The sequence below is a fragment of the Homo sapiens genome, chromosome 12, assembly GCF_000001405.40.
Source record: "Homo sapiens chromosome 12, GRCh38.p14 Primary Assembly".
NCBI lineage: Eukaryota > Metazoa > Chordata > Mammalia > Primates > Hominidae > Homo > Homo sapiens.
This window is the reverse complement of record NC_000012.12, coordinates 93,672,135-93,698,705: the sequence shown is the minus strand read 5'-3', so window position 1 is coordinate 93,698,705 and position 26,571 is coordinate 93,672,135. Positions and strand designations below refer to the sequence as shown.

The 26,571-nt window shown below is 40.1% G+C and overlaps 1 protein-coding gene across 10 annotated transcripts in view, besides 5 other annotated features; it reads right to left on the bottom strand.

The window, feature by feature from the left end:
• The window catches only part of CRADD (CARD and death domain containing adaptor protein), a 217,466-nt gene extending 196,135 nt beyond the window's left edge, over positions 1-21,331 (bottom strand). For 8 of the 10 annotated variants that reach the window (NR_135147.2, NM_001320100.2, XM_047429805.1 and 5 more), the window contains exons 1-2: positions 21,234-21,331; positions 19,634-19,937 (exon numbers count right to left, since the gene is read on the bottom strand). Coding sequence is in view for 9 of the 10 variants with exons in the window: in NM_001320100.2 (NP_001307029.1) it covers positions 19,634-19,931 (298 nt within the window). In the remaining variant the exon portion in view is untranslated. Of the gene's footprint in view, positions 1-19,633; positions 19,938-20,677; positions 21,136-21,233 lie in introns of those variants that run through there. The other 2 variants (NM_001320099.2, NM_001330126.1) reach the window with 2 other exon arrangements.
• Positions 18,829-19,643: an enhancer, noted in NCBI's record as "H3K27ac-H3K4me1 hESC enhancer chr12:94072839-94073653 (GRCh37/hg19 assembly coordinates)". NCBI's record gives its function as "activates a minimal SCP1, AML or CMV promoter by ChIP-STARR-seq in naive H9 embryonic stem cells {active_cell/tissue: H9 hESC(naive)}" and the evidence as "EXISTENCE:reporter gene assay evidence [ECO:0000049][PMID:30033119]".
• Positions 20,460-21,274: an enhancer, noted in NCBI's record as "OCT4-NANOG-H3K27ac-H3K4me1 hESC enhancer chr12:94071208-94072022 (GRCh37/hg19 assembly coordinates)". NCBI's record gives its function as "activates a minimal SCP1, AML or CMV promoter by ChIP-STARR-seq in naive H9 embryonic stem cells {active_cell/tissue: H9 hESC(naive)}" and the evidence as "EXISTENCE:reporter gene assay evidence [ECO:0000049][PMID:30033119]".
• Positions 21,247-21,486: an enhancer, noted in NCBI's record as "active region_6772". NCBI's record gives its function as "activates an Ori minimal core promoter by ATAC-STARR-seq in GM12878 lymphoblastoid cells {active_cell/tissue: GM12878}" and the evidence as "EXISTENCE:reporter gene assay evidence [ECO:0000049][PMID:35858748]".
• Positions 21,247-22,090: a biological region, named in NCBI's record as "OCT4-NANOG-H3K27ac-H3K4me1 hESC enhancer GRCh37_chr12:94070392-94071207".
• Positions 21,275-22,090: an enhancer, noted in NCBI's record as "OCT4-NANOG-H3K27ac-H3K4me1 hESC enhancer chr12:94070392-94071207 (GRCh37/hg19 assembly coordinates)". NCBI's record gives its function as "activates a minimal SCP1, AML or CMV promoter by ChIP-STARR-seq in naive H9 embryonic stem cells {active_cell/tissue: H9 hESC(naive)}" and the evidence as "EXISTENCE:reporter gene assay evidence [ECO:0000049][PMID:30033119]".

Genomic DNA, 26,571 nt, shown 5'->3' with positions numbered 1-26,571 from the left:
AGCTTACTCAGAGTCCAACAATTTGGGGAAAAACAATGAAGAGAAAAGATTTAGAAACTTAAAAGCATACAAACAGAAGACACTGAAAAAAATCAGGTTATAATCTAGTGAAACACTTTGAAACAGTATACTCATAGAAAGACAAACAAAATACTTTAAACAGCAGAGTGAAAAATGCTCTTCCTAGTTCCTGAAGAGTCATTTAGAGAAGGTCTTTTAAGTCCGGTGCTATCTCTCTAATAGTTGAAATAGCAGCATGCCTTGATAACAATTTGAAAAGACTACTTCAAGTTGATTCAGAGGTTTTACTCTCTGAAGAAAAAAGTATATATACTTTGTTAAACACACACATACTCGTAATCTTCTAAATTTTCTCCTTTTTTTGGCATCACATAAGAAATTCCAGATTTCAGCAGCAGTGTCCAGTTCTAGAAGTAACTGGAGTTTAGCAAAGAGTGGGCTTCTGAAACGGAATTTCCAACAGTAATGATGGGATTCAAGACACACTGGCCCAAGATATGGCACTTGGAATCTGAGAAGACAGCATAAGCAGGCAGGTCACTCTGACCTCCCCTCAGCTCCCACAATTCTCCCGATTCTCCCTTAAAGCAGGTTGTAAACCCTAGAAAGGATTTTCTGACCTTCCCCTGAAACAGGTAAGGTGACTCTCATGTGCAATGCCTTCCCTATCCCCAGAGGAAAGGAGCATCCTTATTTCGGAAGATGCAGATCACAGAGAGAACAGGAACACCTAGCCCTAGCAAAGTTTACCCTAGTTCATTATCATTAGAGCTCATATTCTTTTTCCAATCCCATTTCCCCACAACCATCCACATGCCATCAAACCTAGCATAAAAATACACAAGTTTAACCATCTCTTTGGGTCTTCACTCCCTTATAAAAGTTCCTGTGTCATGTAAAATTTATATTAAATAAATTTCTATGCTTGCTCTTGTTTATCTGTCCTTTGGTATAAGGGCCTCAGTCATGAACCTAGAATGAATGAGGAAAAGAGATTTTTCCTCCCCTACAGCAAAAACTCAAATGTTAAGATGATTCATTTATTATAAACACTGGCTATCTCTTTTTTAAATTAACTTATTTAACTTATTATTTTAACTGACAAATAAAAATTGTACACGTTTATCGTGTATAACATGATGTTTTGAAATACGAAAACTGGCAGTCCATTTTTGCTGCTATAACAAAATATCACAGATTGGGTAATTTATAAACAATAGAAATTTACTTCTCACAGTTCTGGAGGCTGGAAGTCCAAGATAAAGGTGCAAGATCAAGCATTTGGTGTCTGGTGAGGGCAGTCTTGCTGCATCTTCACGTGGCAGAAGAGGTTAACACTGTGTCCTCCCGCAGCAGAATGCCAAAGGGCAACAAGAGCCTAAGCGAGTTCCCTCCAGCCCTTTAGTCAGGCACTAATCTATTCATGAGGGTAAAGCCCCTATGACTTAATTACTTCACCCCTTAATACCACCCCCTATTACCACCCCTTAATACCACCACAATGGGGATTAAGTTGAATTCTGGGAGACATTGGGACCATAGCAGGATGGTCATTGCAGGATGGCTAAATAGAGATGATTAAAATATGCATTATCTCATACACTTATCACTTTTTGTGAAGAAAACATGTCAGATTTACTCAGGTGATTTTCAAGAATGCAATACAGTCTACAGTCATTTGTCAGTATCTGCAGGGGGACTACAGGCCCCCACTACCACCCAAGATACCAAAATCCATGGATGCTCAAGTCCCTGATATAAAATGATAATAATATTTCCATATAACCTGCATACATCCTCCCATATATTTTAAATAATCTCTAGATTACTTATAATACCTAATACAAGGTAAGTGCTATGTAAATGGTTGTCCTACTATATTTTCACTTGTATTCTTTTTTATTGCTGAATTGTTATTTTTTATTGTGGTTTTTTTTTTCAAATATTTTCTATTTGTGGTTGGTTGAATCCATAGATACAAAGGGCCAACTGTAGGTTGTTAATTATCTATAGTCATCATGTTGCACAATAGATCTCTTGAACTTATTTCTCCTGTCTAACTAACCTTTGCATTCTGTGACCAACATCTCCCCAATCACATCTCCTCCAGCCTCTGGTATCTACCATTCTACTCTCTGCTTCCATGAGTTCAACTTTTTTAGATTCTACATATAAGTGAGATTATATGGTATCTGTCCTTTTGTGCCTTGTTTCACTTCACTTTGCATAATATCACCTAGGTTCATCCATGTTGTCACAAATGACGGTATTTCTTTTTAAAAACTGAATAGTATTTCATTATGTATATATGCTATATTTTCTTTATCCATTCATCTGTTGATGGACACTCAGGTTGATTCTGTATCTTGGCTATTGTAAATAATGCTGCAGTGAACATGAAAGTGTAGCTATCTCTTTGATATACTGACTCCACTTCTTCTGGATATATACCCAGTAGTGGGATTGCTAAGACACAGAGTTCTATTTTAAATTTTTTGAGGAACCTCCATACTGTTTTCCATAATGACTATACTGATTCACATTCTCACCAAGTATGCAAAGGTTCCACTTTCTCCACATCCATGCCAGTACTTGTTACCTTTCATATTTTTAATAAGCACCTAGAATTCTAATAGGTATGAGGTTATATCTCATTATAATTTTAATTTCCATTTCCCTGGTGATTTGCGATGTTGATCATTTTTTCATATACCTGTTGGCCATTTGTATGTCTTTTGAGAAATGTCTGTTCCCATCCTTTGCCCATTTATTTATTTATTTTGAGACGGAGTTTTGCTCTTGTTACCAAGGCTGGAGTGCAGTGGCACAATCTCAATCTTGGCTCACTGCAACTTCCGCCTCCTGGTTTCAAGTGATTCTCCTGCCTCAGCCTCCCAAGTAGCTGGGAATACAGGCGAGTGCCACCACTAATTTTTGTATTATTAGTAGAGACAGGGTTTCACCATGTTGGCCAGGCTGCTCTTGAACTCTTGACCTCAGACAAGCCACCCACCTCGGCCTCCCAAAGTGCTGGGATTACACGCATGAACCACTGCGCTGGCCGCCCATTTTTTAATTGGGTTGTTTTCTTGCTATTGAGTTTTTACAGTTCCTGGTGTATTTTGGACATTAATTCCTTATCATATATATGGTTTGCAAATAATTTCTCCCATTCCATAGGTTACTTCTTTACTCTGTTGTTTCCTGTGCAGAAGCTTTTGTTTATCCCATTTGTCTATTGTATTTGTTGCTTGTGCTTTTGGGGTCATATCCAAAAAATCCATTGCCCAGACCAATGTCATAGAGCATTTCCCCTAGGTTTTCTTCTAGTAGTTTCATAATTTTGGTCTTATGTTTAAGTCTTTAATCCATTTTGAGTTTATTTTTATACATGGTGTGAGATGAGGGTCTAAATTCTTCTGCATATCCAGTTGTTCCAACACCATTTATTGAAAAGACTGTCCTTTCTCCAGTGTGTCTTATTGGCACCTTTGTTGAAAATCAACTGACCATAAATGTGTGAATTCATTTCTGGACTATCTATTCTGTTCCATTGGTCTATGTGTCTGTTTTTATGCCAACACCATGCTGTTCTGACTAGTATAGCTTTGTAGCACATTTTGAAGTCAGAGAAGGTAGTATGATGCCTCCAGTTCTGTTCTTCTTTGCTCAAGACTGCTTTGGCAATTCAGGGTCTTTTGTGGTTCCATATAAATTTCAGAATTGTTTTTTCTATTTCTATAAAATATGTCACTAGAATTTTGATAGTGATTGCACTGAATCTATAAATCACTTTGGGTAGTATGGACATTTTAACAGTATTAATTCTTTCAATCCATGAACATGAGGTTTCCTCCCATTTATTTGTGTCTTCTTCAGTTTCTTTCATCAATGTTTTAACAGTTTTCATTATACAGGTTTTTCACATCCTTGGTTAAGTATTCCTAAGTATTTTTCTTTTGGTAGCTATTGAAAATGGGATTGTTTCCTTGATCTCTTTTTCAAATAGTTTGCTGTTTGTGTACAGAAACACTACTGATTTTTATGTTAATTTTGTATACTGCAACTTTACTAAATTTATTAGTTCTAATAGTTTTTTGGTAGAGTCTTTAGGGTTTCCTATATTTAAGATCATGTCACCTGCAAACAGGGATAATTTAACTTCTTTCTTTCTAATCTAGATACCTTTTATTTCTTTATCTTGCCTAATTATTCTGGCTAGAACCTCCAGTATTATGTTGAGTAAGAGTGGTGAGAGTGGGCATCCTTCTCTTGTTCCTGATCTTAAAAGAAAAAGCTTTCAGTTTTCCACTGTTGAGTATGAAGTTAGCTACGAGTCTGTCCCATATAACCTTTTTTGTGTTGAAGTATATTCCTTCTATACCTAATTTGTTGAGAGATTTTATAATGAAGGGATGTTGACATTTGTCGAAAGCTTTTTCTGCAACTATTGAGATGATCATATAGTTTTTGTCCTTCATTCTGTTAATGTGGTATGTCATATTTATTGATTTGTGTATGTTAAACCATCCTTGCATCCTTTGATCACAGTGAATGATTCTTTTACTGTGCTGTTAAATTCAGTTTGCTAGTATTTTGTTGACAATTTTTGCACCTATGTTGATCAAGAATAGAATATTGGTCTGTAATTTTCTATTCTTGTATCCTTATCTAGCTTTGATATCAAAGTAAATTCTGGCCTTACAAAATAAGCTTGGAAGTATTTCCTCTTCTTCAATTTTGTAGAAGAGTTTGAGAAAGATTGGTATTTGTTCTTTGAATGTTTGGCAGAATTCAGCAATGAAGCCATCAGGTTCTGGGCTTTTCATTAATGGGAGAATTTGTATTACTGACTCAATATCCTTATACATTACTAAGCTAATCAAAATATGTATTCTTGATACCATTGGATGGAATGTTCTGTAAATGTCTGTTAGGTCCATTTGGTCTAAAGTGTAGTCTAAATCCACTGTTTCTTTATTACTTTTTTTATCTGGGTAACCTGTCCATTACTGAAAGTGGGGTATTAAAGTTCTCTACTATTACTATATTCTAGTCTGTCTCCCCCTTCAGATCTATTAATATTTGATTTATATATTTAGGTGCTCCAGTGATTGGTGCATATATATTTATGGCTATTATACCTTCTTAATGAATTGACCCCCTTATTATTACATAATGACCCTCTTTGTCTCTTTTGACAATTTTTGACTTAAAATCTACTTGGTCTGACATAAGTATAGCCACTCCTACTCTCTTTTGGTTTCCATTTGCATGGAAAATATTTTTCTACCCGTTAATTTTCACTCTATATGTGTTCTTAAAAAGGAAGTGAATCTTTTGTGGATGGCATATAGTTGGGTCTTGTGCTTTTTATAAAACCCATTCAGACACCCTGTCTTTTAACTGGAGAATTTAATCCATTTACATTCAAGGTAATTAATGATAAGGTCTTGCTTCTGCCATTTCGTTAACTGTTTCCTGGTTGCTTTGTAGATGCTTTGTTCTTTCCTTCCTCTGGCTGTCTTCCAGTGTGATTAGGTAATTTTCTCTAGTGATATCCTTTGGTCCCTTACCTTTTATTTTTTGTGTATATACCATAGGTTTTTGTTTTATGGTTACCATGAAGCTTACAAAAACATTTTATAAACAGCCAGTTATTTTAAGCTGATAACAACTCAATTTTGATCACATACAAAAATTCTACACTTTACTCCACCATCACCCCCATATTTTAGTTTTTGATGGCACAATTTATGTCTTTTTGTTTTGTATATACTTTATAAGTTGTTATATCCATTTTAATAGTTTCATCTTTTAACCTTCAAACTAAAGATGTAAATGATTTACATACAACCATTACAGTATTGGAGATTCCAAATTTGACTATGTAAGTTTTATACTTTCGTACGTTTCCATGTTATTATTAACCTTCCATTTCTTTCCACTTGAAGACTCCACTAGCCTTTCTTGTAAAAACAGGTGTGGTGGTGATAAACTTTCTCAGCTTTATCTGGGAAAGTATCATTCTCTCCTTCACTTCTAAAGAACGGTTTTGCCGGCTACACTATTCATTGTTAGCAATTTTTTTTTTCCATCAACATTTTGAACATATCATCCTACTCTCTCCTGGCCTATAAAGTTTCTGCTGAGAAATGTACTACTAGGCTTATTGAAATTGTCTTATATGTTATTTGCTTCTTTTCTCTTGCTGCTGTCAGGGTCTTCTCTTTGTCTTTGTTTTTTGACAGTTTAATTATAATAAGGCTTAGTGTAGTCTTGTTTGGATTGAATCTAATTAGAGACTTTGACCTTCCTGTACCTGGATATTATATCTTTCCCCAGATTTGGAAAGTTTTCTGCTAATATTTCTTTAAAACAGCTTTCTACCACTTTATCTCTCTTCCTCTGCCTTAACTCCTATTATTCAAATGTTTGTTCTTTTGATGCTGTCTCATAAATCCCATGAGCTTTCTTCATTCCTTTTCATTCTTTTTCTCCTCCAACTGTAATTTTAAATAATGTCTTCAAGTTTACAGATTCTTTCTTCTGCTTGATTAATTCTGCTGTTGATACTCTCTATTGCATTTTTCAGTCCATTAATTTTTATTTCGGCTCCAGAATTTAATTTTAATTTTTACTTTAAGTCCTGGACTACATGTGCAGGATATACAGGTTTGTTACATAGGTAAATGTGTGCCATGATGGTTTGCTGCACCTATCAACCCATCACCTAGGTATTAAGCCCACATGCATTAGTTATTTTTCCTAATTCAGCTCCAGAATTTCTATTTGATTTTTTTAAATAATTTCAAAATTTCTCATTTTGGTCATTTATTACTTTTCTGACTTCATGCAATTATTTCTCTGGATTTTCTTGAAGTTAGCTACCAGGTAGGCTGCTCTTACAGACCAGCTAGTGTGACAGTCACTTCAACTCCACCGAAGTCTGAATCTCAGCCTTAGAGGTGGGGAGGGCCCTCTTCCACATTCTTAGTGACTGTATCCTGCACTACCTTTCAACCTCAGAAAAAGTAGCTTCTGCCATTCCTGTATTACTTAGAGACCTCTTTTACCCCATTTAGTGGTTAACCATGGTTTGCTTTTCACCAGTTAAAAATTCTTTATATTGGCCAGGCACGGTGGCTCATGCCTGTAATCCCAGCACTTTGGGAGGCCAAGGCGGGCAGATCACCTGAGGTCAGGAGTTCGAGACCAGCCTGGCCAACATGGTGAAACCCTGTCTCTACTAACAATACAAAAATTAGCCAGGCATGGTGGCGGGCACCTGTAATCCCAGCTACTCGGAAGGCTGAGGCAGGAGAATTGCTTGAACCCGGGAGGCGGAGGTTGCAGTGAGCCAGGATCGCGCCATTGCACCCCAGCCTGGGCGACGAGAGTAAAACTCTGTCTCAAAAAAAAAAAAAAAGAAAACAAAAGAAAATTCTTTATATTAAGTTTTCCCTATTTAAATTACTGTGTGGTTTCTGTCTCCTGAATGAATTGTGACTGGCACATGATGGAATAAAAGGGCTCAAACAAATATGAAAGGCCTGAAAAGTCACATTTGCCCGTAGCACATAACTAATTAATAATAAAGAGATTGAAAGGGAAGAGATATGTTTAAAAACTAAATGAACAAAAATGTCCACATCAATCACATTCAAAACCTTTATTTTACCTAATCATATTTCTTAGAAAACATCTTTCATTTTCTTTTGTATTTTTTAAAATTTGGTAACTGTTAAAAAAGAGACTGACATACACATAATGAAAATGCCGGCTATGTGTGAGACCTGAGGCAAGCAAGGGTCAGAAAATAAAGAAGCTGCAGCTAGCCCAGGTCAGGTCATCTAAGCCATGTGACTCCAATCAGATCTAAGAACTGGTAGTAGACCGATAGAGACAGGACCCTAGTGATTAGAAGCACAGACTGTGAGCCAGACTGTCAGTGTTTGAACCTCAGCTCTGCTACTGCCAAACTGTGTGACCTTGAGCAATTTATCTAACACCTTAGTCTCCTCATCTGTGAAATGCAAATGATAACAGTAGTGCCTACCTCAAAGGGCTATTATGATAATAAAGTGAGTTTATATATCTAAAGCCCTTAGGCCAGTACCCAATTCAAATTCTCTTTCTAAACCTCCTCTTTACATCTACATTCTCAATCCATTTTTCTCCCCCAATACATTCTGATTTTGGAAAAGTTTAAGGAGACCTATGCTGCTCCAAAACTGCTCTCCAGCGTTTTATCTACCACCTTTGGCCCTCAACCTGGGCCTTGCTGTATGAAGAAGAGGTAAAGCAACCTCCTCCCTTAAAGGGCTATCATTTGTTTTCCAGGCCCATGGGCGTGAGACCTATTCAATCCAAAAAGAAGAAGGATGGCACAGTAGACAACTCTTGCTTCAATCAGCTTTCACTCTTTCTTTTGGAACTTCCTTTCCCCACTTCAGGTGATTCTGGTGTCCTAGAGGAAGGGCTCAGGACCCAAGTTTGGCCAATAGTCTGAATCTGGAAGGAAGGTACAGTGTAGAAACTTGATTGAAGATGACCATCTGATGGCCTGAGATCCCCCACTGTTGCCTCATTCCTGCCCTTATTAAGCCCTGAAACCTTTATCATTCCTTCAAAGTTGTGAACTACCCAATATATTTCAGAGAAATTCCTATTTTTATGTTACATGAAGTTCTACTATTTGAACAGAAGAACCCATATGCATGCTGTTAGACTTGGATATCCCTTCGTTTCCTCATCTATAAAGTGTTTCTAAGATCCCTTCCAACTCTAACCTTCTATAGTTCTAGCAACAGGACAAGTCACTGCAGATACGCTCTACTTGATCTATAATTCTCCACAGCAACTTCACCATTACTACTCAGCACCCACAGACCTTATCAACAAATGGTAGAATTGGGAGATGCTTTTAAAGTCTTGTATTTAGGTTATAAAACCAGAAGCCTCTCATTTGTCACTTAGTACATCTCGGCGGTATTATTTTGGTAATGGTATTGCCACCCTGTCTGCTATGGTGCTGAGCATAAATAGAACATGAACATTTCCAGGAATTGTCAACTTGGCACTTCTTAGAAGGAGTTAAAGTTTCTTTCATAACATTAACAAAATAAAGCCTAGGAGTAAAACCTGCCCCAAACTTCTTCTAGAAACTACATTCCTTTTCAATTAAAATTTACTGTTGGAAAAAACACAACATACCTTTTTTTCTTTTTTTTAGTCTGGGGGAAATGCCCTCAAAGAATCATATGTATACACTCCTTACTGCTTAAACTGAGGAACAAGCATAAACACAGCTGCCTATTAACATTATGTAAAGCAAACATTCCCACAGCTAGCTATAACAGCAGCCTACAAGTTTGAACTACACCCATAAAAAGAGAACACTACCTTGCTAAGCATTTGGTGAAACTCTGAAGCTGCACCACCAGAAAAGCTGGTTATTGGAACTGAGGGCTTTAGATAGCAAGATTTAAGAGCTGCAAAAGTGGGACTGGATTCCAGTATCAGGGGAGCCAACACACTATCTCCTGATCACAGCCAAGGAGATTTAGTCTTTTTTTTACTCTCAAAGTAGCAAGTTGAAATGGGAGAGATTCAGGGGCTCTGTTCCATGACCCCTCCCCACCGTATGGTCTTCCATTAGACCCTAGCCTTCCCCCAACCAAAAAAGTATAAAATGAGAGATACGAGAGAGATACCAACCAGGAATCAGCCTTAGGACAAGAGGCAAGAAAGAGAAAGCCTCCTGAGGCTGTGTGTCTGGAAGAAACTGGAAGTAGGGGAGTTTCTGAAGAAGAATTAGGGTGATGGGCTCTGGAGCAGCCACAGGTTATCAGAATTAGGAAGAGGAGAAAACTGAATGCCGAGAAAGTGGTTTTATAAGATATGAATCAGTAGGCCTTGAAGTGAAATTTGACTTTATGTTGTGTGACTTTAAGTAAGTTATTTAACATCTATCTCTGTGCTTACATTTTCGCATCTGTTCAAAAGGGTAATAATACCACCTCCCTCATCAAGTTATTGTCAGGATTAAATGAATTAATAAACACAAAGGACTTAGAATATAGCTGGCAGACAGTAAGTCCCCACTAGCTATTATGATTATTTTACTGATGTTATCTGAAGTTCTTTGTGAGACACAAAAGACTGCTTTTGCTTTTTTTTTTTTTTTTGAGACAGGGTCTCACTCTGTCACCCAGGATGGAGTGTGCTCTCGACTCATTGCAACCTCTGCCTCCTGGGTTCAAGTGATTCTTGTGCCTCAGCCACCCAAGAAGCTGGGATGACAGGTGTGTGCCACCATGCCCAGCTACTTTTTGTATTTTTAGTAGAAACGGGGTTTTGCCATGTTGCCCAGGCTGGTCTTGAACTCCTGACCTCATGTGATCCTCCCACCTTGGTCTCCCAAACTGTTGGAATTAACAGGCGTGAGCCAATGCACCTGGCCTGAAATTCATTTTTAATTATGAATAAAGACCATGAGCAGACAGACAGCCAGTCTGACAGACTAAGCCAGTCCCACTCTTCCCAACTAGCCATTTGTCTCTCCTTCTCTCTTCCATCCTCGAGCCATCTTCAGCTCACTTTTTAACTGAGAGGAGCATCCAACTCGTTCTTCAGCAGGAGACTCTGTCTCCATTTGGACATAACCTGATCTACAGAGCACAAGGTACTGCATGTAGTTTGTAATGACTGTACCAAACAATGTGAATAGCAATAAAAATAATTCCCAAATTCAAATTCACTAGCAATTCAAACTCCTCCAATTGTTGCCTCATGTGTGTAGCCTATATATCCCCATAGAGCCCTAATGGATTTTAATGTTGGTAGCAGCATCACCCCCTGTATGGGGTCTGAGATTCTGGAACATTCTTGAGCAACAATGCTCAGGAAATTCAAGGAATAAAAGGATTTGCAAACTAATATCCCTCTACACCCTGATTCCTACCACCCTTCCATCTGGTGCTACCTGAAAATAAGAACAATGCTTCAAGCAAGTACACAGCTTTGGGAAGCCACGACTTGGAAGCAGTGAGTGAGGAAGGAGGCACGCTCCTAACCAGCTGGTCAGAGCTCAAGGTTCTCAACCCCGGCTGCAATTTAAGATGACCTCACGAAGCATTTGTACGTGTGCCTGACTTACACATGGGCATGCCCGTGTGTGCCTTTAACATCCCATTGCCCAGAACCCACCCTCCAGAGATTGTGTAATGGATTCACCTGGAGTAGAGCCTGGGCATCAGTAGTTTTGTAAAAGCTCCCCAGGTGATTCCAAAGCATAGCCACAGCTGAGCAACAATGAGTTAAATCAACCCTGATGTTCAATACAGTGTCTGATGCAGCCGAACGGTCTATACATCCACAGAAGGGAGAAAAAAAGGCATAGCCAGAATTTCTAAGTGAAAAGAATACCAAATCCATGTTTTAAAGTGAAATGGAGGCATCTCCGCTGGGGCAAGACCTGTCACATGTTTGCTATTCCTAGAAAGACCTGCAATTAGCTGCCAACAGATGCATTATTTCATCAGTCCCATAAATACTCGATGAAAGTCTTCCGCTTTTCCTTTATGTCAGCCTTGCAGAGGTAGGAAGAAAAAAATCTTGTGACAAAATGCAGTACTGAACGATCATCATTTCCTTTTAAATGATTAAAATTAGCATTCATAAAAATAAAATATTTTAGTGAAATCTCATTCCAGCATACCTCTAAAGGCCCTTGGAAATTCTCCTCTTAAAATGAAAAAAAAAAAAATGCATTAGTACAATTTTTAAAAAGCCTCTTTCAATTATTAACACTGCAGCATAATACAATTCCATTTCAAACTCAGTGGGAAGCCAAGATTGCGCAGCAGAAAAAGTCCTAAATCAAGAGTTGCAAAGCCTGGATTCTAGTCCCAGTAATAAATTACATTAACTAGCTGTGTGATCATGGGCAAGTTGACTTAATCTCCCTAGGCCTCTGTTTTCTCAGAGAAAAATTAGATGACCTGTGAGTCCCACCCAGTTCTAAAATTCATAATACCAGGATATGGCTCCATCTTGCTGACTTTGTTTCACTAGCAAGTAAATGTGTTTAAAATTTAGAGAACTTACGAATTTTGAAATTCTAGTTAATTTAACTAATTCCTATCACTGGGCATAAATTGAAAGAGCAAAACTGTGAAGCATCATGAAAACAGCTCTATCTACTATCTATACTAGAACTGGAGCCTTCCTGCTTTAACTATGCCAGCCAGGTGATGGCTCCTCCCCCAAATGCCTGTCTTTCTTTTTAAATTAAAAAAATATATGATGAAAAGCAACTTTTGGCCACATCCTCACACCATTATTATTTTCTTTTCTTTTTTTTTTTTTTTTTTTTTGGGGGGGATGGAGTCTCACTCTGTTGCCCAGGCTGGAGTGCAGTGGCACAATCTCGGCTCACTGCAACCTCCACCTCCTGAGTTCAAGCAATTCTCCTGCCTCAGCCTCCTGACTAGCTAGGATTACAGGTGCCTGCCACCACACCCGGTTAATTTTTTGTATTTTTAGTAAAAATGGGGTTTCACCATGTTGGCCAGGCTGGTCTCAAACTCCTGACCTCAAGTGATTCACCCGCCTCAGCCTCCCAAAGTGTAGGGATTACAGGCATGAGCCACTACACCCAACCATTATTTCCGTTGGTTTTGTTTTTTAGACGAAGTTTCGCTCTTGTCCCCCAGGCTGGAGTGCAATGGCGCGATCTCAGCTCACTACAACCTCCACCTGCCAGGTTCAAGCGATTCTCCTGCCTCAGCCTCCCAAGTAGCTGGGATTCCAGGCGCCTGCCACCACGCCTGGCTAATTTTTGTATTTTAAGTAGAGATGGGGGTTTCACCATGTTGGCCAGGCTGGTCTCAAACTCCTGACCTCAGGTGATCTGCCCGCCTCGGCCTCCCAAAATGCTGGGATCACAGGAGTGAGCCACTGTGCCTGGCCTATTTTTTTATAGTCTCCTTTATGTTGACACATTTCTACTTAAATGTAAGTAATGGTTTTTTCCTAAATAATTTGGTATACTTTCAATCTTATTTCCTATTCAATATTCCTATGAACATTTTTCTTTTTATTTTTGGTTGATACATAAAAATTGTATATATTTATGGGATACAGGGTAACATTTCAATACATGCATACAATGTGTAATGATCAAATAAGGGCAATCAGTATATCCATCATGTCAAACATTTATTCTTTCTTTGTGCTGGGAATATTCAAAATCCTCTCTTCTAGCATTTTGAAAACACATAATAAATTCCTGTTAACCATATTCACCCTACAGTGCTAGGACATTAGAACTTATTCCACCCATCTAGCTGTAATTTTGTATCCATTAACCAACCTCCCCATCCCTGCCTCCCTCATACCCTTCCCAGTCCCTAATAACCACAATTCTAGTCTCTAAAAGTCATGTATTTTTAAAAGGAACTTCGTAAATAGAAAAGTTTTGCTTGCCATAAATGGAAGGAACCCATTAAGTTGACACAAAAAAAGCAATACAACTAGATTCTAGCTAAATACTGTTGCCCACAGAAGGCTTTAAGCATGAGGACCTCCTATCATTCTTACCGAACTGAAACAGAAATAGAAAGGAAATAACTTTCTCATCATGTAATTCAATATTACTTAATCCCACATCCACGTATCAACTAAAGTCATGCTACGAGCCACACAAGATCACGGCTGCACACACATCTCACATGTTGAGAGCAAAACAAAAGGTAGCCACTGAGCCTCTGCTGATGTGGAATGTGATTCATCCCAGGGAGGAAGGTGTCTTATTAGCCACATTGTCACCTGTGGCTCCCACTTGACTTCCTGTGTATTTGTGGTCCCCTCTATCTGAAAGCTCTCCTCCCTGTATCAACTCTGCAGCCAAACTCAGTTCTCTGCTCAGTGTCCCCTCATCAGAGAGGCTTTCCCTGACCACCCCCACCACCACACATACCGCTTCTCTTCATAGCGCTCTTCACCACCAAATGTTATTTATTCATTTGCTTATTATCTGTCCCTGCCCTTATCCCCTCCCTCTACTAGAATACATTGAACTCCATGAAAATAAGGGCTTTGTTTTGTTTACTGTTATATCTCCAGCACCTACTGTCTTGCACAGGGGTCCCCAACTCCCATACCGGTCCGTGGCCTATTAGGAACCGGATCGCAGAGCAGGAGGTAAGTGGCAGGCAAGCGAGGATTACCACCTGAGCTCCTCCTCCTATTGGATCAGCAGTGGCATTAGACTCTCATAGGAGCATGAACCTATTGTGAACTGCACATGCCAGAGATCGAGGTCGCGCACTCCTTATGAGAATCTAATGCCTGGTAATAATCTAAGGTGGAACAGTTTCATCCCGAAACCATCATTCCCCCCAACTCTCCCGTTGGTTGAAAAATTGTCTTCCACAAAACCAGTCTCTGACGCCAAAAAGGCTGGGGACCTCTGGTTTAGCACATGGTCAAGACTCAGCAAATATTTGCTGGATGAACGCATGAATGCCCTCAACTGATCTGGAGATCCTCCATTTGTCTTTATATACCCAGTACCTGGCATTCAGTAGGTCCTTAGGAAGTATATGAAAATCGGGCTGGGTATACACAGAAACCTGGGCCCTCTGCAGACTCTCCCTTTACCGAGGGAAGGGTCTTGCTATGGATACTGACCCACTGTTCTCACTCTAGCACACAGGACGCCACTAGGCAAACACTACTCAGTCACAGTGGAAGCACATGGATAGACTGCAAGCTAGATACACTGAGACCAACACTGAACTTACATGCAGAGCAAGGTCAATTACGTGGTATGATTGGAGGAACCTATGAAAAGAATCCCAAGCTAGAAACCTCTCTAATAAACCCATCACAATATCTAAAATATCTGCCATTAAGAGCTCAGTGACTTTAGATGCATCCAAGTATGCAACTCAGAGCTAGAATGTATCTCAGGAGGGCGGCAGGTGTGGTTCTGTGTTGTCACTCAAGGCTGGCGCCACAAGGGGCAGGCAGAGCCCTTGAGCCCACAGGTAGAGGGGAAATGGACTAGCCAGTCCTGCGCACTGCTGTTGTAAGAGCAGCCAGGGAGTCCAGGGCACAGAGTCTATGGGGAGGACAAGATCAAGCCCAGAGAAGGTTGAAGCAAGTGTCAGCTTAGGGACAGCCATTCCAACAGGCTCAAGAGTTGAGACATCCAATGCTGATGCCGGAGGCACCGAGCTGTGTTCCCAGAGCTCTGTTCTTCACTCTCGCCATGGCTAAGAATACATAAAGCATGAATCAAACCAACGGAGGAGAGAAAAACAAAAACACTCCCAAGCTTAAAGGAAGACTGGGGCAAAAGGCAGAGAATCATGGCAGACACCCAGACCCACAGCCAGGGCCAACACAGTGGAACAGGGAGGGGGTCCTGTGGCCCAGGAGTCACTCCCACCGTGATTTACGCTGAGTCCCACCAGATGGGGAGGCTGGGCTGCCATCAACCTCCTTTCCAGATCCAGATTAGCTCAGGCACTGGAGGGAGCCTGTCAGTGCCGACAGGCCCCATGAGCAGTGAGAAGCCAGGCAGGCAGGCACAGGCTGCCTTCACCCAGACACGGCACTGTCCCTATCTCCTAAATGACCTGACAGGAGCCCAGAGAGGATTTCCAGCTGATCTAATGTCTAGTATGTGACCTTGGCCAGAGAGACAAACCATGAAGTGTTCTCTCCACGGTGCCAAGGTGGATTAAGTCATTTTATCACCAGAATTCCTCTTTTAAAAGGTAAGAGTCCTTACAGGGTGAGAAAAACACAAAACCAATGATCCATTAACAACTTTAACAACTTAAACCTTTTTTTTTTTCCTAACAGAGATTGGGAGACTAGTCACAGAGGCAGATTCTGAGAGAATCAAAAGGTTTAGGGTGTTTTTGTATGTTTTGAGATTTGATGGGGGTGGCGTTCAGAAGAGTAGAGAAGAACAAGATACAGCTCAATTCTCTAAACAAATTACATCCAGCACATAAGTAAAAAGCAACTAACCAGGAACAATCACCAAAATAAAGCCTCTGAGACAGCTCAAAATTTACAAGTGAAACAACGAAAATTAAAACAACAAACCAATAAAGGGGAAACCAAGCATCTCTGGGAAGACCAACACAAGAAAACCTTAATAAGATAAAATCAGTTCATTCTTAGAGAAGGATCAACGTCTTGGCTAAAAAAGAAGGCCATTCCTTCCCATTTGTTCTCAAGGCCTCCCAAGAGACTACTGAATCCATACAAATTAATTAATAAGTATGATCAAAATGAGGAAAAGGTAGGAAGAGTTTAATGTGTACATACATTAAGAGGTTAATGTGTACACACATTCTCCTATAGTCTAGATCCTCAAAACTCAAAGATATCTTTACAAAAATTTAAGTGGACTATTTTAAATCTTACTAAAATTACTCAATTACAACACTGGAGAAGCACCGAGGTCTTAGGCAGTAGGTTCTGGATTTCTTTTTTATAGGGACGTTAAATTGAAGGGATTTCAACTCTGATACTCTTCCCAGGATTTACAAAATAACAAAACCTAGGTTTCCAATTCAGTAAATCCCAATTTAATTTTAGAATTAAAATATTGCCACCAATTAAATTACTTTAAACATGTAAAAAATATTTTAAGTTCTGAAACAAGAGAAGGTGTTAACTATCAAGTTTAAATGCATAATTTCTTCCATTACTTCCACCCTTTCCTTCCCACACACACAAAAAACATATATATCTCTCTCTATATACATATATACATATACACACACACACACCTCTAGAACTTACGGTATACAGGATTTTCAAAAACATATGAAGATTTTAAAAGTGATTTTTAGGAGATAGGAAACTATAAAGTGAAGAAGTGAATGAATGATAAACCCCCAATTCAGGGCTTTTCACTGCGTGGGGGTTGGGAATGAGACAAGATTGGGAAGGAGTGCCCGGGGTTTTTAAAGGCAATCGTAATATTATTTTTCTTAAACTGAGTGATGAGGAGACGGGTGTTCGCTGTACCATTATTCTCCATATCTTACTTATATTTTGTAATATTATTTAAAATAGTCAATATTTAATAAATACAAGTCTTTTTTAAAAGAGTTTATGTGATTGTCACCGTGGAAGGTATTCAAAGACATATATAAATCAAACCCTCACTTCAGAATGTTTTTTTCAATAGCAGTGTTACTCAGTAAAAAGTAAAACAATTAAGATGACTGTACGAATTTGTTCCAGAGCCAACCTTCTACAGAATTAACAAATCTTGAGAAAAACCTTATTTTTCTAAACTTCTACACAGATATGCTCAATTTTTTTCCCATTATGTACTGCTTCATTCTGTTTGCTTTTTTAAAAAGCTATTTTTCCTCAGCTTCTCTGTAACTCTCATCATTTTGTAAAAAATGCCTTAATTCTTTCTAACTCTCTGAATGAATCTGAAGAAATAATGGGGTTATGGCCGAGCATGGTGGCTCACGCCTGTAATCCCAGCACTTTGGGAGGCCGAGGTGGGCGGATCACCTGAGGTCGGGAGTTTAAGACCAGCCTGACCAACATGGAGAAACCCCATCTCTACTAAAAATACAAAATTAGCCGAGCATGGTGGCACATGCCTGTAATCCCAGCTACTCGGGAGGCTGAGGCAGAAGAATTGCTTAAACCCGGGAGGCAGAGGTTGCAGAGAGCCGAGATCGCGCCATTGCACTCCAGCCTGGGCAACAAGAGTGAAACTCCGTCTCAAAAAAAAAAAAATGGTATTATACCTCTACGAATGACATACAACAGCATGATCTGTATCACCCAAAATGACCATAAAATTAAATTCAGTATTTTGATAGTGAAAGGCTTTCAGTTCACCTGTTTTGTTGTTTCCAACTATATGATGCCAGCAGAAACCTCTAAGTCAAATATCAGGAAAACACCAATAATTTTTTAACATTTCTCCAACTCTATGTTATCTATTCTGCTTTCAATAAAGTCATAAAAACATCTAGATACATTTTGTTCAGACATGTGGAGTATTTAATTTTGTAAGGACAATCCAAGCAGTGAATTCCAGTGGTCCTCAAAAGCCAGCTATGTCTAATATTTCAAAAAGCCTAAAGATACATTTAACTGTAACGAGCCCAGACTAGGAATGAAAATACTTTTGCTTTTTCCACTGGGATCTTACCAGGTCTTCCTAAAGTTAGCTGGCTATGTCATGCTGATCAGGTATTCAGACATATGTCAAAATATGAGGTCCATGGAGCAAAAATAGTAAAAGTGGTCTTATTATCAGTATTCATTTTTTTTAACCAGTATTTAAAAAATAGCAACCACGAAGTCTGGGGCCCACTGAACCGGAATAGTTCTATCACTCTTATCAGAAACCCCAGAGAACCTTGATTCTCTAACTTTGTTAAAAATTTGCAAGCCAACTTTCAATTACTTTTTTTTTTCAATTTTTAATTTTTGCCAGTTCAGTTCTCTGCCCCTCTATCTTTGTGAAACAGAGTCAAGGGAGGTTAAGAAAAAGCAAGTGTTTCCATATCACATCTTCTTCCTGCTACAAGCCAGGCTAACAGAACCAGAACTGTTTCTCTCTTCTCCAGCTTCCAATTCTCCTTCAAATTAAACTGAGACCCTCCCCAAACTATTGCTCTTTGCAAAATTAAATACTCCAGTGTCTGAACAAAGCTAAACTAAAAAGGACACTTTAAACGAATAACCTTTAAAAACAAACTAAGTCAGCCTTCAAAATAATCCCCTTTGGCCACACAGGACAGCCCAGGGGACAGGTGCAGGGCATGCCTTCCTAGAGGCTGTCTCCTCCTCCATGAATCTGACCTTTTCCAGCTGGTAGCTCTGGCACCTCACAAATCAGTTGTCAGTAGGCCGAATGCCTGCTTTCCCATCTGCACTTTCCAAATGGCTCCTGATGCCAACGGCTGAGATATGACCTGGCTCTCTGATGAGAACATGCTTCCCAAGTGACATGCCAGGTTTCCTGGAAGCATTTCTAAATGCATTCTCTGAGCTCCCTCCCTCACCTCCCAGTCACGGTTCATTCTTCCTTCCCTGCACTTCCTAATGCCACCTCCTGATCCTATTCCTCCAACGTCATGTCCCTTCAGTCCCAAATCCTTACCCACTTTCATCAACCATTGACCCTTGTCCTGCCTTACATCCCAACTTCAAATCCAAAGGGCATAGTTCTGGCTAGGTGTGGTGGCTCACGTCTGTAATCCCAGCACTTTGGGAGGCGGAGGTGGGTGGATCACCTGAGGTACGGAGTTCGAGACCAGCCTGGCCAACATGATGAAACCCCATCTCTACTAAAAATACAAAACTTAGCAGGGCATGGTGGCAAATGCCTGTATTCCCAGCAACTCGGGAGGCTGAAGCAAGTGAATTGCTTGAACCCAGGAAGCAGAGGTTGCAGTGAGCCGAGATCACACCATTGCACTCCAGCCTGGGCAACAGAGCAAGACTCTGTCTCAAAAACAAACAAACAAATAAACAAAAAAGCAAAGAGCATAGTTACAACATTTTGGAGCTGGTTCAAAGTGATCTTTCTGAGGCCTACCTGCAGGCAGGTCGGTCATGGCCTCTTCCCTTGCCTTCTTCAGCTTCTCCCTGACCCAGGGAAACTCCTGTAGGGAATCTAGGAATGTATCAAATGCTTTAGGGCCCCTGGAAGGTAGGATATCCAGCAGGAGCATTGTTTTCCGGAGGCCTGTGGTTTGAGCATTGATTTCTTGAATATGGTTTTCCGTCAAGATTCCTTCCTGGTAGAGGTACTGAAGAACCAGTCCCTCCACCAATACCTCTGCACCCAGCTCCAGGCGAAGTGAGCGGAGTACTTGTTTGTCTCTGGCCTCCATTTCTCCCTGGAAAGAGCCAAAATCACAGCTCAAATTACAGACATGTTGATGTGGCCCTAAAGACAGTGTCACTGCAATGTAAGTTCCTTCAGGTCAAGCACATCTTTAAACCATAGCAGACTGCCAGGTCATGGTATTTAATTCACTGATTAAGCCAAGCCAGGTTAATTTTGAATGTTTCCTAACATAATGAACAACAATGAAGATGAATCATCTTTTCTGTTTCTGCTTTTCACACAATGGGGTCCCAGCTCAATTCCTCGTTCAATAAAGAAATTTGGAAAAAGAAAAAAAAAAAGTGGGTCAGAGACCCTTCTGAACAAGCAATTTTTATCTGAAGATTACAGAGCAGCACTAATTTTAACACGCTGGAGAAGAAATGGTGGTTTTATTTTCACATTGCCCTCATCAGACCTGCACCACCACCACCAAGGCAGAAACTGCCAAGGTGGACGCAGGTCCCCTTTTTTTGATCACAAGTATTTGCAAAACCTGATCAGTAATAGGAGTGCAGGACAGAAATCAGCAGGTTCAGAATTTAAGGCTCTTTTCGCTAAAAGTCCTCTACACGATCACCTTTAAGAAAATTGTTGTTTGTGCCCAGTCTACAATAAACTTTACACAATATACAGTCACAGACTCCATTCCTTCCCACTAAGAATTCCGAATCTCCAGCACAACACTGTCGTGGCCGCACATGCATGGGACATTTTATGGGATTTTTTTCTTTCAAAAAAAGCACACACCCCAGCACTGGTCAGTAGCCAGGCACGATTTGAAGGTGCAGTTCCACCACCCCTGCACCAGTGTGCTGTGGCTTGGTTGTGTGTAAGGCAGTGAAGGTTAAGTGACCGGGAAGGCAGGCAGGGATGACAGATGGGGCTTCAGACACACCCGGGCAGTACGACCACGGCTAGGCGACACCCGATCCCACACTCCCCCTCGCAACCCTGTAAAGTTCAGGAGGTGACAGGTGAGGAGGGGAGGTGTTCACGTTTGGCCGTGAGCGCCCATTGGGAACTATTTAAAAAGGCTCTGCTTCGGCCGCTGAAACCCTTGTATCAAACAGGAAGACTACGGGCGGTTTCTGCGGCAACTTGACCCGCTAAAGAGGGAGTGCTGGGAATGAACTAAAGAGCGGACCAAGGGGAGAGCGGGCCTCCGGCACTGCCGCAGCCACCCAGCCTTGGCCCGGATCGGAAATGCGGAGCAAGTTAGCGGGGCGGGGAAGCCCCCGCAGGGCCCAGGTCGCAGACGCTACAATGCAGGACTTTCAAAGAAAGATGGATTCCTGTTACTTACGTCTGCAACCACGTATCTTTGGGGCGGGGGAGAAAAACTGCAACCGGAATCCTGACTGTTAGGGAACCTGCCCCATAAGCACCATCTTTGTTAATGGCGAAAACCCTAAACAGGAAGTGTTGACACCATCTTTGTTGAGGGCAAGTACAGGAAGTGCTGTCGCCATTTTTATTGAGCGTTCAAGGGTCGGATCGAAGCTCTTCCCGCCATGCTTACTGTGGGTAAACAATTCAATAGCGGGGAGATGGACAACCGTAGTGTCACTTAAAGGGTATCTAAGTAATGGAGTAATTGAATCATTGCATTTTAACACAGTAACTCCATCAGGGCCTCGCACACAATTGACCTAACAGAGAGGCAGGTCAAAAGCCACCCTAGTAGAGAAGCCTTCTCTGACCTATCTGATTAAAACGGCAAGACAGCTGCGCTCATTTCCTGCACTCCCCATTAACCAGCTTTATTTTTTACGCATCACCATCTTATTAAAACTTTTCACTTATTCATTTGTTTATCCTTCTGCTTCCCTCCATTAAAATGCAAGGTCATTTATTTATATCAAGGGTTCCTGCCCGCAAAGAGTTTACAAATCTGTCAGTCAGGATTTCATTGCAGCACTCAGCTAGTTACTCCTAGTCAGAAAGGGATTCGTTAGGGGGAATTGGGGACATTCGAAATCATTGGAAAGGCTGGAGAAGGGCTGAGCTGAACATCCATGGATGACTACCTAGATAAGATTGCTGATTGTGGCTGCTGCCCACAATCAGGAAGATGGCGTCAGGAAGTTGCCATGCCTGGTCCCCAACCTCCTCTCAACACCGACAGAACAATTAACAGGACACTGGAACAGTGCTGCAAAAAACGGTGGTCTCCACGGCTGCATTTGCCAGCAGCAAGAAAACAGCACCTGCAAATCTTGCTTTGCTGCGTGCCATTGGTGAGACCAATCTGACATGCAGAATATTAGCAGCAAGGATGTCTAGAGCATGTAGTTGGTAGCTTTCCAGCTTGTGAAACACAAAAAGGTATAGTAAATGAGGGAAGGCCTGACACTTAAAGCCAATCTACTGCATCCACCACATTTTCAATGTGGAAAGCAAGAAAAAATGCATGACCCAAATACAGAGAAACACAGCAATGCCAAATTGGGTGTCCTTCCTCACATTCCTTTGTGAAGCGAGGCAGGCGATCAATAAATACATTCATTGATTCATTTTTAAATCAATTGGATGATACATACAGAAAGTCATATGCTTACTAAAAATCAGTTGACAGTACAGGGGGAAAAAACTCCTAAAATATTATTTCTGCAAAGGTTTTCACAGCCAAACCCTTTGGTGGAAAATGAAAATATCTTTGTTAAGCAAATCAATGGAGAACAGTTCTGAACCTCCCTCCTCAAAACCTTCTAAAAATTGTATTCAATTTACAGCATTACTATGCCAGTTACCATTTTACTACACCGTTAATGACAGTATTTTTACCTATGTGGCAAGTATTATTATTATTACAGTCATGCATTGCATAACAATATTTGGGTCAATGACAGACTGCATATATGATGGTGGTCAGAGCAATAGGCTATGCTATATGGCCTAAGTATGTAGTAGGCTATACCATCTAGGTTTGCATAAGTACATCCTATTTTGTTTGCACAATGACACATTTTTCACAATGTATCTCCACTGTTACAACTGTTTTAGCATTTGCATGTATAAAGACTGTGGAATCAGAATGGTCAATTGTCTTAGGCAAAATCTCACAGCTAATATAGAGCAAAACTTGAAGTCTAATGAAGTTTCTCTGATTTCATGCTCTTTCCAATACACCATACAACCTTGTATAGTGAAGAGTTTATTGTTCTAATGATAGCCAAATATTATTTGCAAATCATCCTGTTGCCACCTCCCATTCTTGATACTCTTGAGTTCCAGGTGCTCTCTTTTCTCTCTCCCTTTTCCCCTTTTGCTTGAGAATCATTGTCCTTTCCTCAGCAAGATTTCCCATCTGTTCATAGACAAATGTTAGCACCATTCTTTGTCTTCATCCAGATAAAGTGCAGACCACTTGCAACACTGCCAAGCGTTGAAGTTTACAGGTTAAACATCCCTAATACAAAAATTTGAAATCCAGAATCCTCCAAAACCTGCCTGAGAGTGGTGGCTGACACCTGTAATCTCAGCATTTTGGGAAGCCAAGGCAGGCAGATCGTTTGAGCCCAGGAGTTCAGGGCCAGCCTGGGCAACATAGGGAAATCCCATCTCTACAAAAAATACAAAAAATTAGCCAGCCATGCTTGTGTACGCCTGTAGTCCCAGCTTCTCAGGAGGCTGAGGTGGAGAATCAATTGAACCCGGGAGGTGGAGTTTGCAGTGAAACAAGATCATGCCACTGCACTCCGGCCTGGGCGACAGAGAGAGACCCTGTCTCAGAAAAAAAAAAAAAAAGAAAGAAAAAGAAATGCTCCAAAACCTGAAGCTTTTTGGGTGTCAACATGACGCCACAAGTGGAAAATTCCACACCTGACCTTATGTGATGGGTCTCAGTCAAAACACAAACCTTTGTTTCATGTGCAAAATTATTTAAAATATTGTATAAAGTTACTTTCAGGCTATGTGTATAAAAAGTATATATGAAACATAAGTTTTGTGCTTAAACTTGGGTCCCATCCCCAAGTTACCTCATTATGTATATGCAAATATTCCAAAATCCCAAAAAATCCAAAATCCAAAACACTTCTGGTCCCAAGCATGTTGGGTAAGGGATCATCAACCTATACTAACTTTTTTAGAGAGGAAAAGCAAGTGGATTTTTTTCTAACTGTGAACTTCGATAAATTTCAAACATATAGGAAAGTTGAAACAAATAGCGCAATAAACGCCCATATAAAGTTTCATATTTCTTGATGACTCATCATATTTGGAAAGGCTTGAGATCTCCTAGAAGCTAGAAGGTGAGCCTTGATGATGATGCCCAGGAGGAGGTGGGGAACCAACAATAGGATCCGTGAGGGTTCACAGAAGAGAAGCAGCCAGAGACAGCAGGAGAGTGTCAGGGCAGCAGCCGAGGGGCATGGCGTCCTATGGTAAACAACCTGAAAGGGTGGCCATTAAAGATCTGACTTAAATCTGCAGCGTGAAGTCTTTAATCATCGAATGCCTCTTCCCATGGCAAATACAGATGAGGATCCATGCTGTCTCTTAAGCAACTAGGCTGAACGACTAGCCCACTGCCATCAGCCACCCCACCTCAGCATACAGCGATACTTCATGGCAGTACACCAAAGACCCAACTTTACTTAGACAGATTAGCTAAGGCCAGAGGGCTTCTAAGGAATGGAACACAGATCAGAATCATTATCACAGGTGGTTACTCCTCCGCTCTGGCCAGACCCTCTGTAATCTGAAATTGTGCCCCCACGGAGGATTAAGCACCTGTTACCCAGTGGTAACGAATCCACAGGAAGGACAGATATTTTCATTTTTCTCTCTCCCCTAGTATGTTTACTTGTGTCAAGATATCCCTATTGTGAGTTTGCAAAATAAAGAGTCAAAAAGAACAAATGCAGTATTTTTCTCTTTCGGTTTGGTCTTTGGTTTTGCAGCCTTCAAAAAATAAATAAAAGGAATTGGATGTTTTGGTTCTTCCTGTTTCATTGATGTAGAAATTAAGTCATGGGGAAAACCAGAGTCTTTTCAAGCATACTTGAAACATTTATTAAAATAGATCATAAATCAGGTCACAAAGAAGCATTAATAAATTCCTGAAAATCACTAGCATACAAACTATGTACTCTATAATTATACAATAAAATTAGATATTTTGACAAAAGGATAGCTTCCATAAATCCCATAAATTTGGAAACTAAATAAAACAATTCTTAAACCCTTGGGTTTAAAAAAAAGTCACACCTGTATAACTAATAAAACATAGAAAGAAAGAAAGAAAAAGAAAAACGTGATAGTAGAGAAACCTGGCAAACATCGCCTTAACCAAGTGATCAAGGTTAAACCTCCCCAGTAATTAGTCATGGAGATATCATGTGCTCCAATACGATGTGACAAGAAAGGCATATCTCCTTTGCAATATTCTCCTTTAAAATTCAGAACCTCAGTGTTTTTGTAAGAAAACATCAGACAAACTCAAACTGAGAGATATTCTGTTAGGTTGTTGCAAAACTAATTGTGGTTTTTGCCACTACAAAATATCTGACAAGTACTTTCAAAAGTGTCAAGGTCATGAAAGACTGAGAAATTGTTACAGATTGAAGAAGACAAGGAGGTGTGACAACTTGAGGCAGGGAAGGAGCAAGAGAGGGAGGATCAGAAGAGAAAGAAGGAGAAAAGGAACTCCATAAAGGACTTGCTCATAGTCAGGGAGAAATGAAAACTTCTGGGACCAAATTCCTAGTCCCCATTTTATCTTAGCTATTTTCTTGACATGCAGCATAGAATTTCATATGGTCTCTATTTCCTGGACCAACGCTCCCCAAAAAGAGATGAAATAAGAATTTGTCAAAAGAAATACAGACATCTATCCCTGTAACTGTAAATCCTTAAAAAAAAAAAAAACTCACTTGAAATATGCAAGTGTTGCCTCTTTCTGTATAACTTTTGATTAAGATATGCTGTAGATAATATCATCTGCACTAATAAATTATTATTTTACTAAGTTATGAATTCCAATGATTCATTCAATTCTTTGCTATCTAATTTTCATCTTAATTACTGTTTGTTGTAAAAATCCTGAGACTATTTACAAAAACCTTTTAAAAGAGCCAAATACATTATTATGCAGAGTATCATGTACTAATTTAATACTCCAACAATTCTAGAAATTTGAAGCATTACACCATAAGACTTTAGTGGTGGTAATACTAGGACTATTATAATTTATTAATAATTGACAACAAGAAGTTTCTATTGAGCATTGATTACATGCTATGGTCAGCTAGGGATAACCCACTGAAAGACAGAGATGGTCTTAGTCTTCATGGAACTTAGAATCCCGTGGAGAAAACAAACTTTAACAAGGAAACAAAACAAAAGTAATAATTACAAATTACTATAAGTGCAATGAAGGAAAGGTGCTTTAATAAGATAAACTGGTTCAGGGGCTGGGAGATGGGAGCTGATTCTAATTCAGTCTTCGGAGAAAGCCTCTCTGAGGAGATGACCTTTCTCCTAGTTTTCTTCCAAAGACTTGGCAGGAGTTATAAAACTGTACTACACACGTTTAAAAGATGTCCGGGCATAGTGGCTTACGCCTGTAATCCCAGCACTTTGGGAGGCCGAGGCAGGCAAATCAGTTGAGGTCAGGAGTTTGAGACCAGCCATGGCCA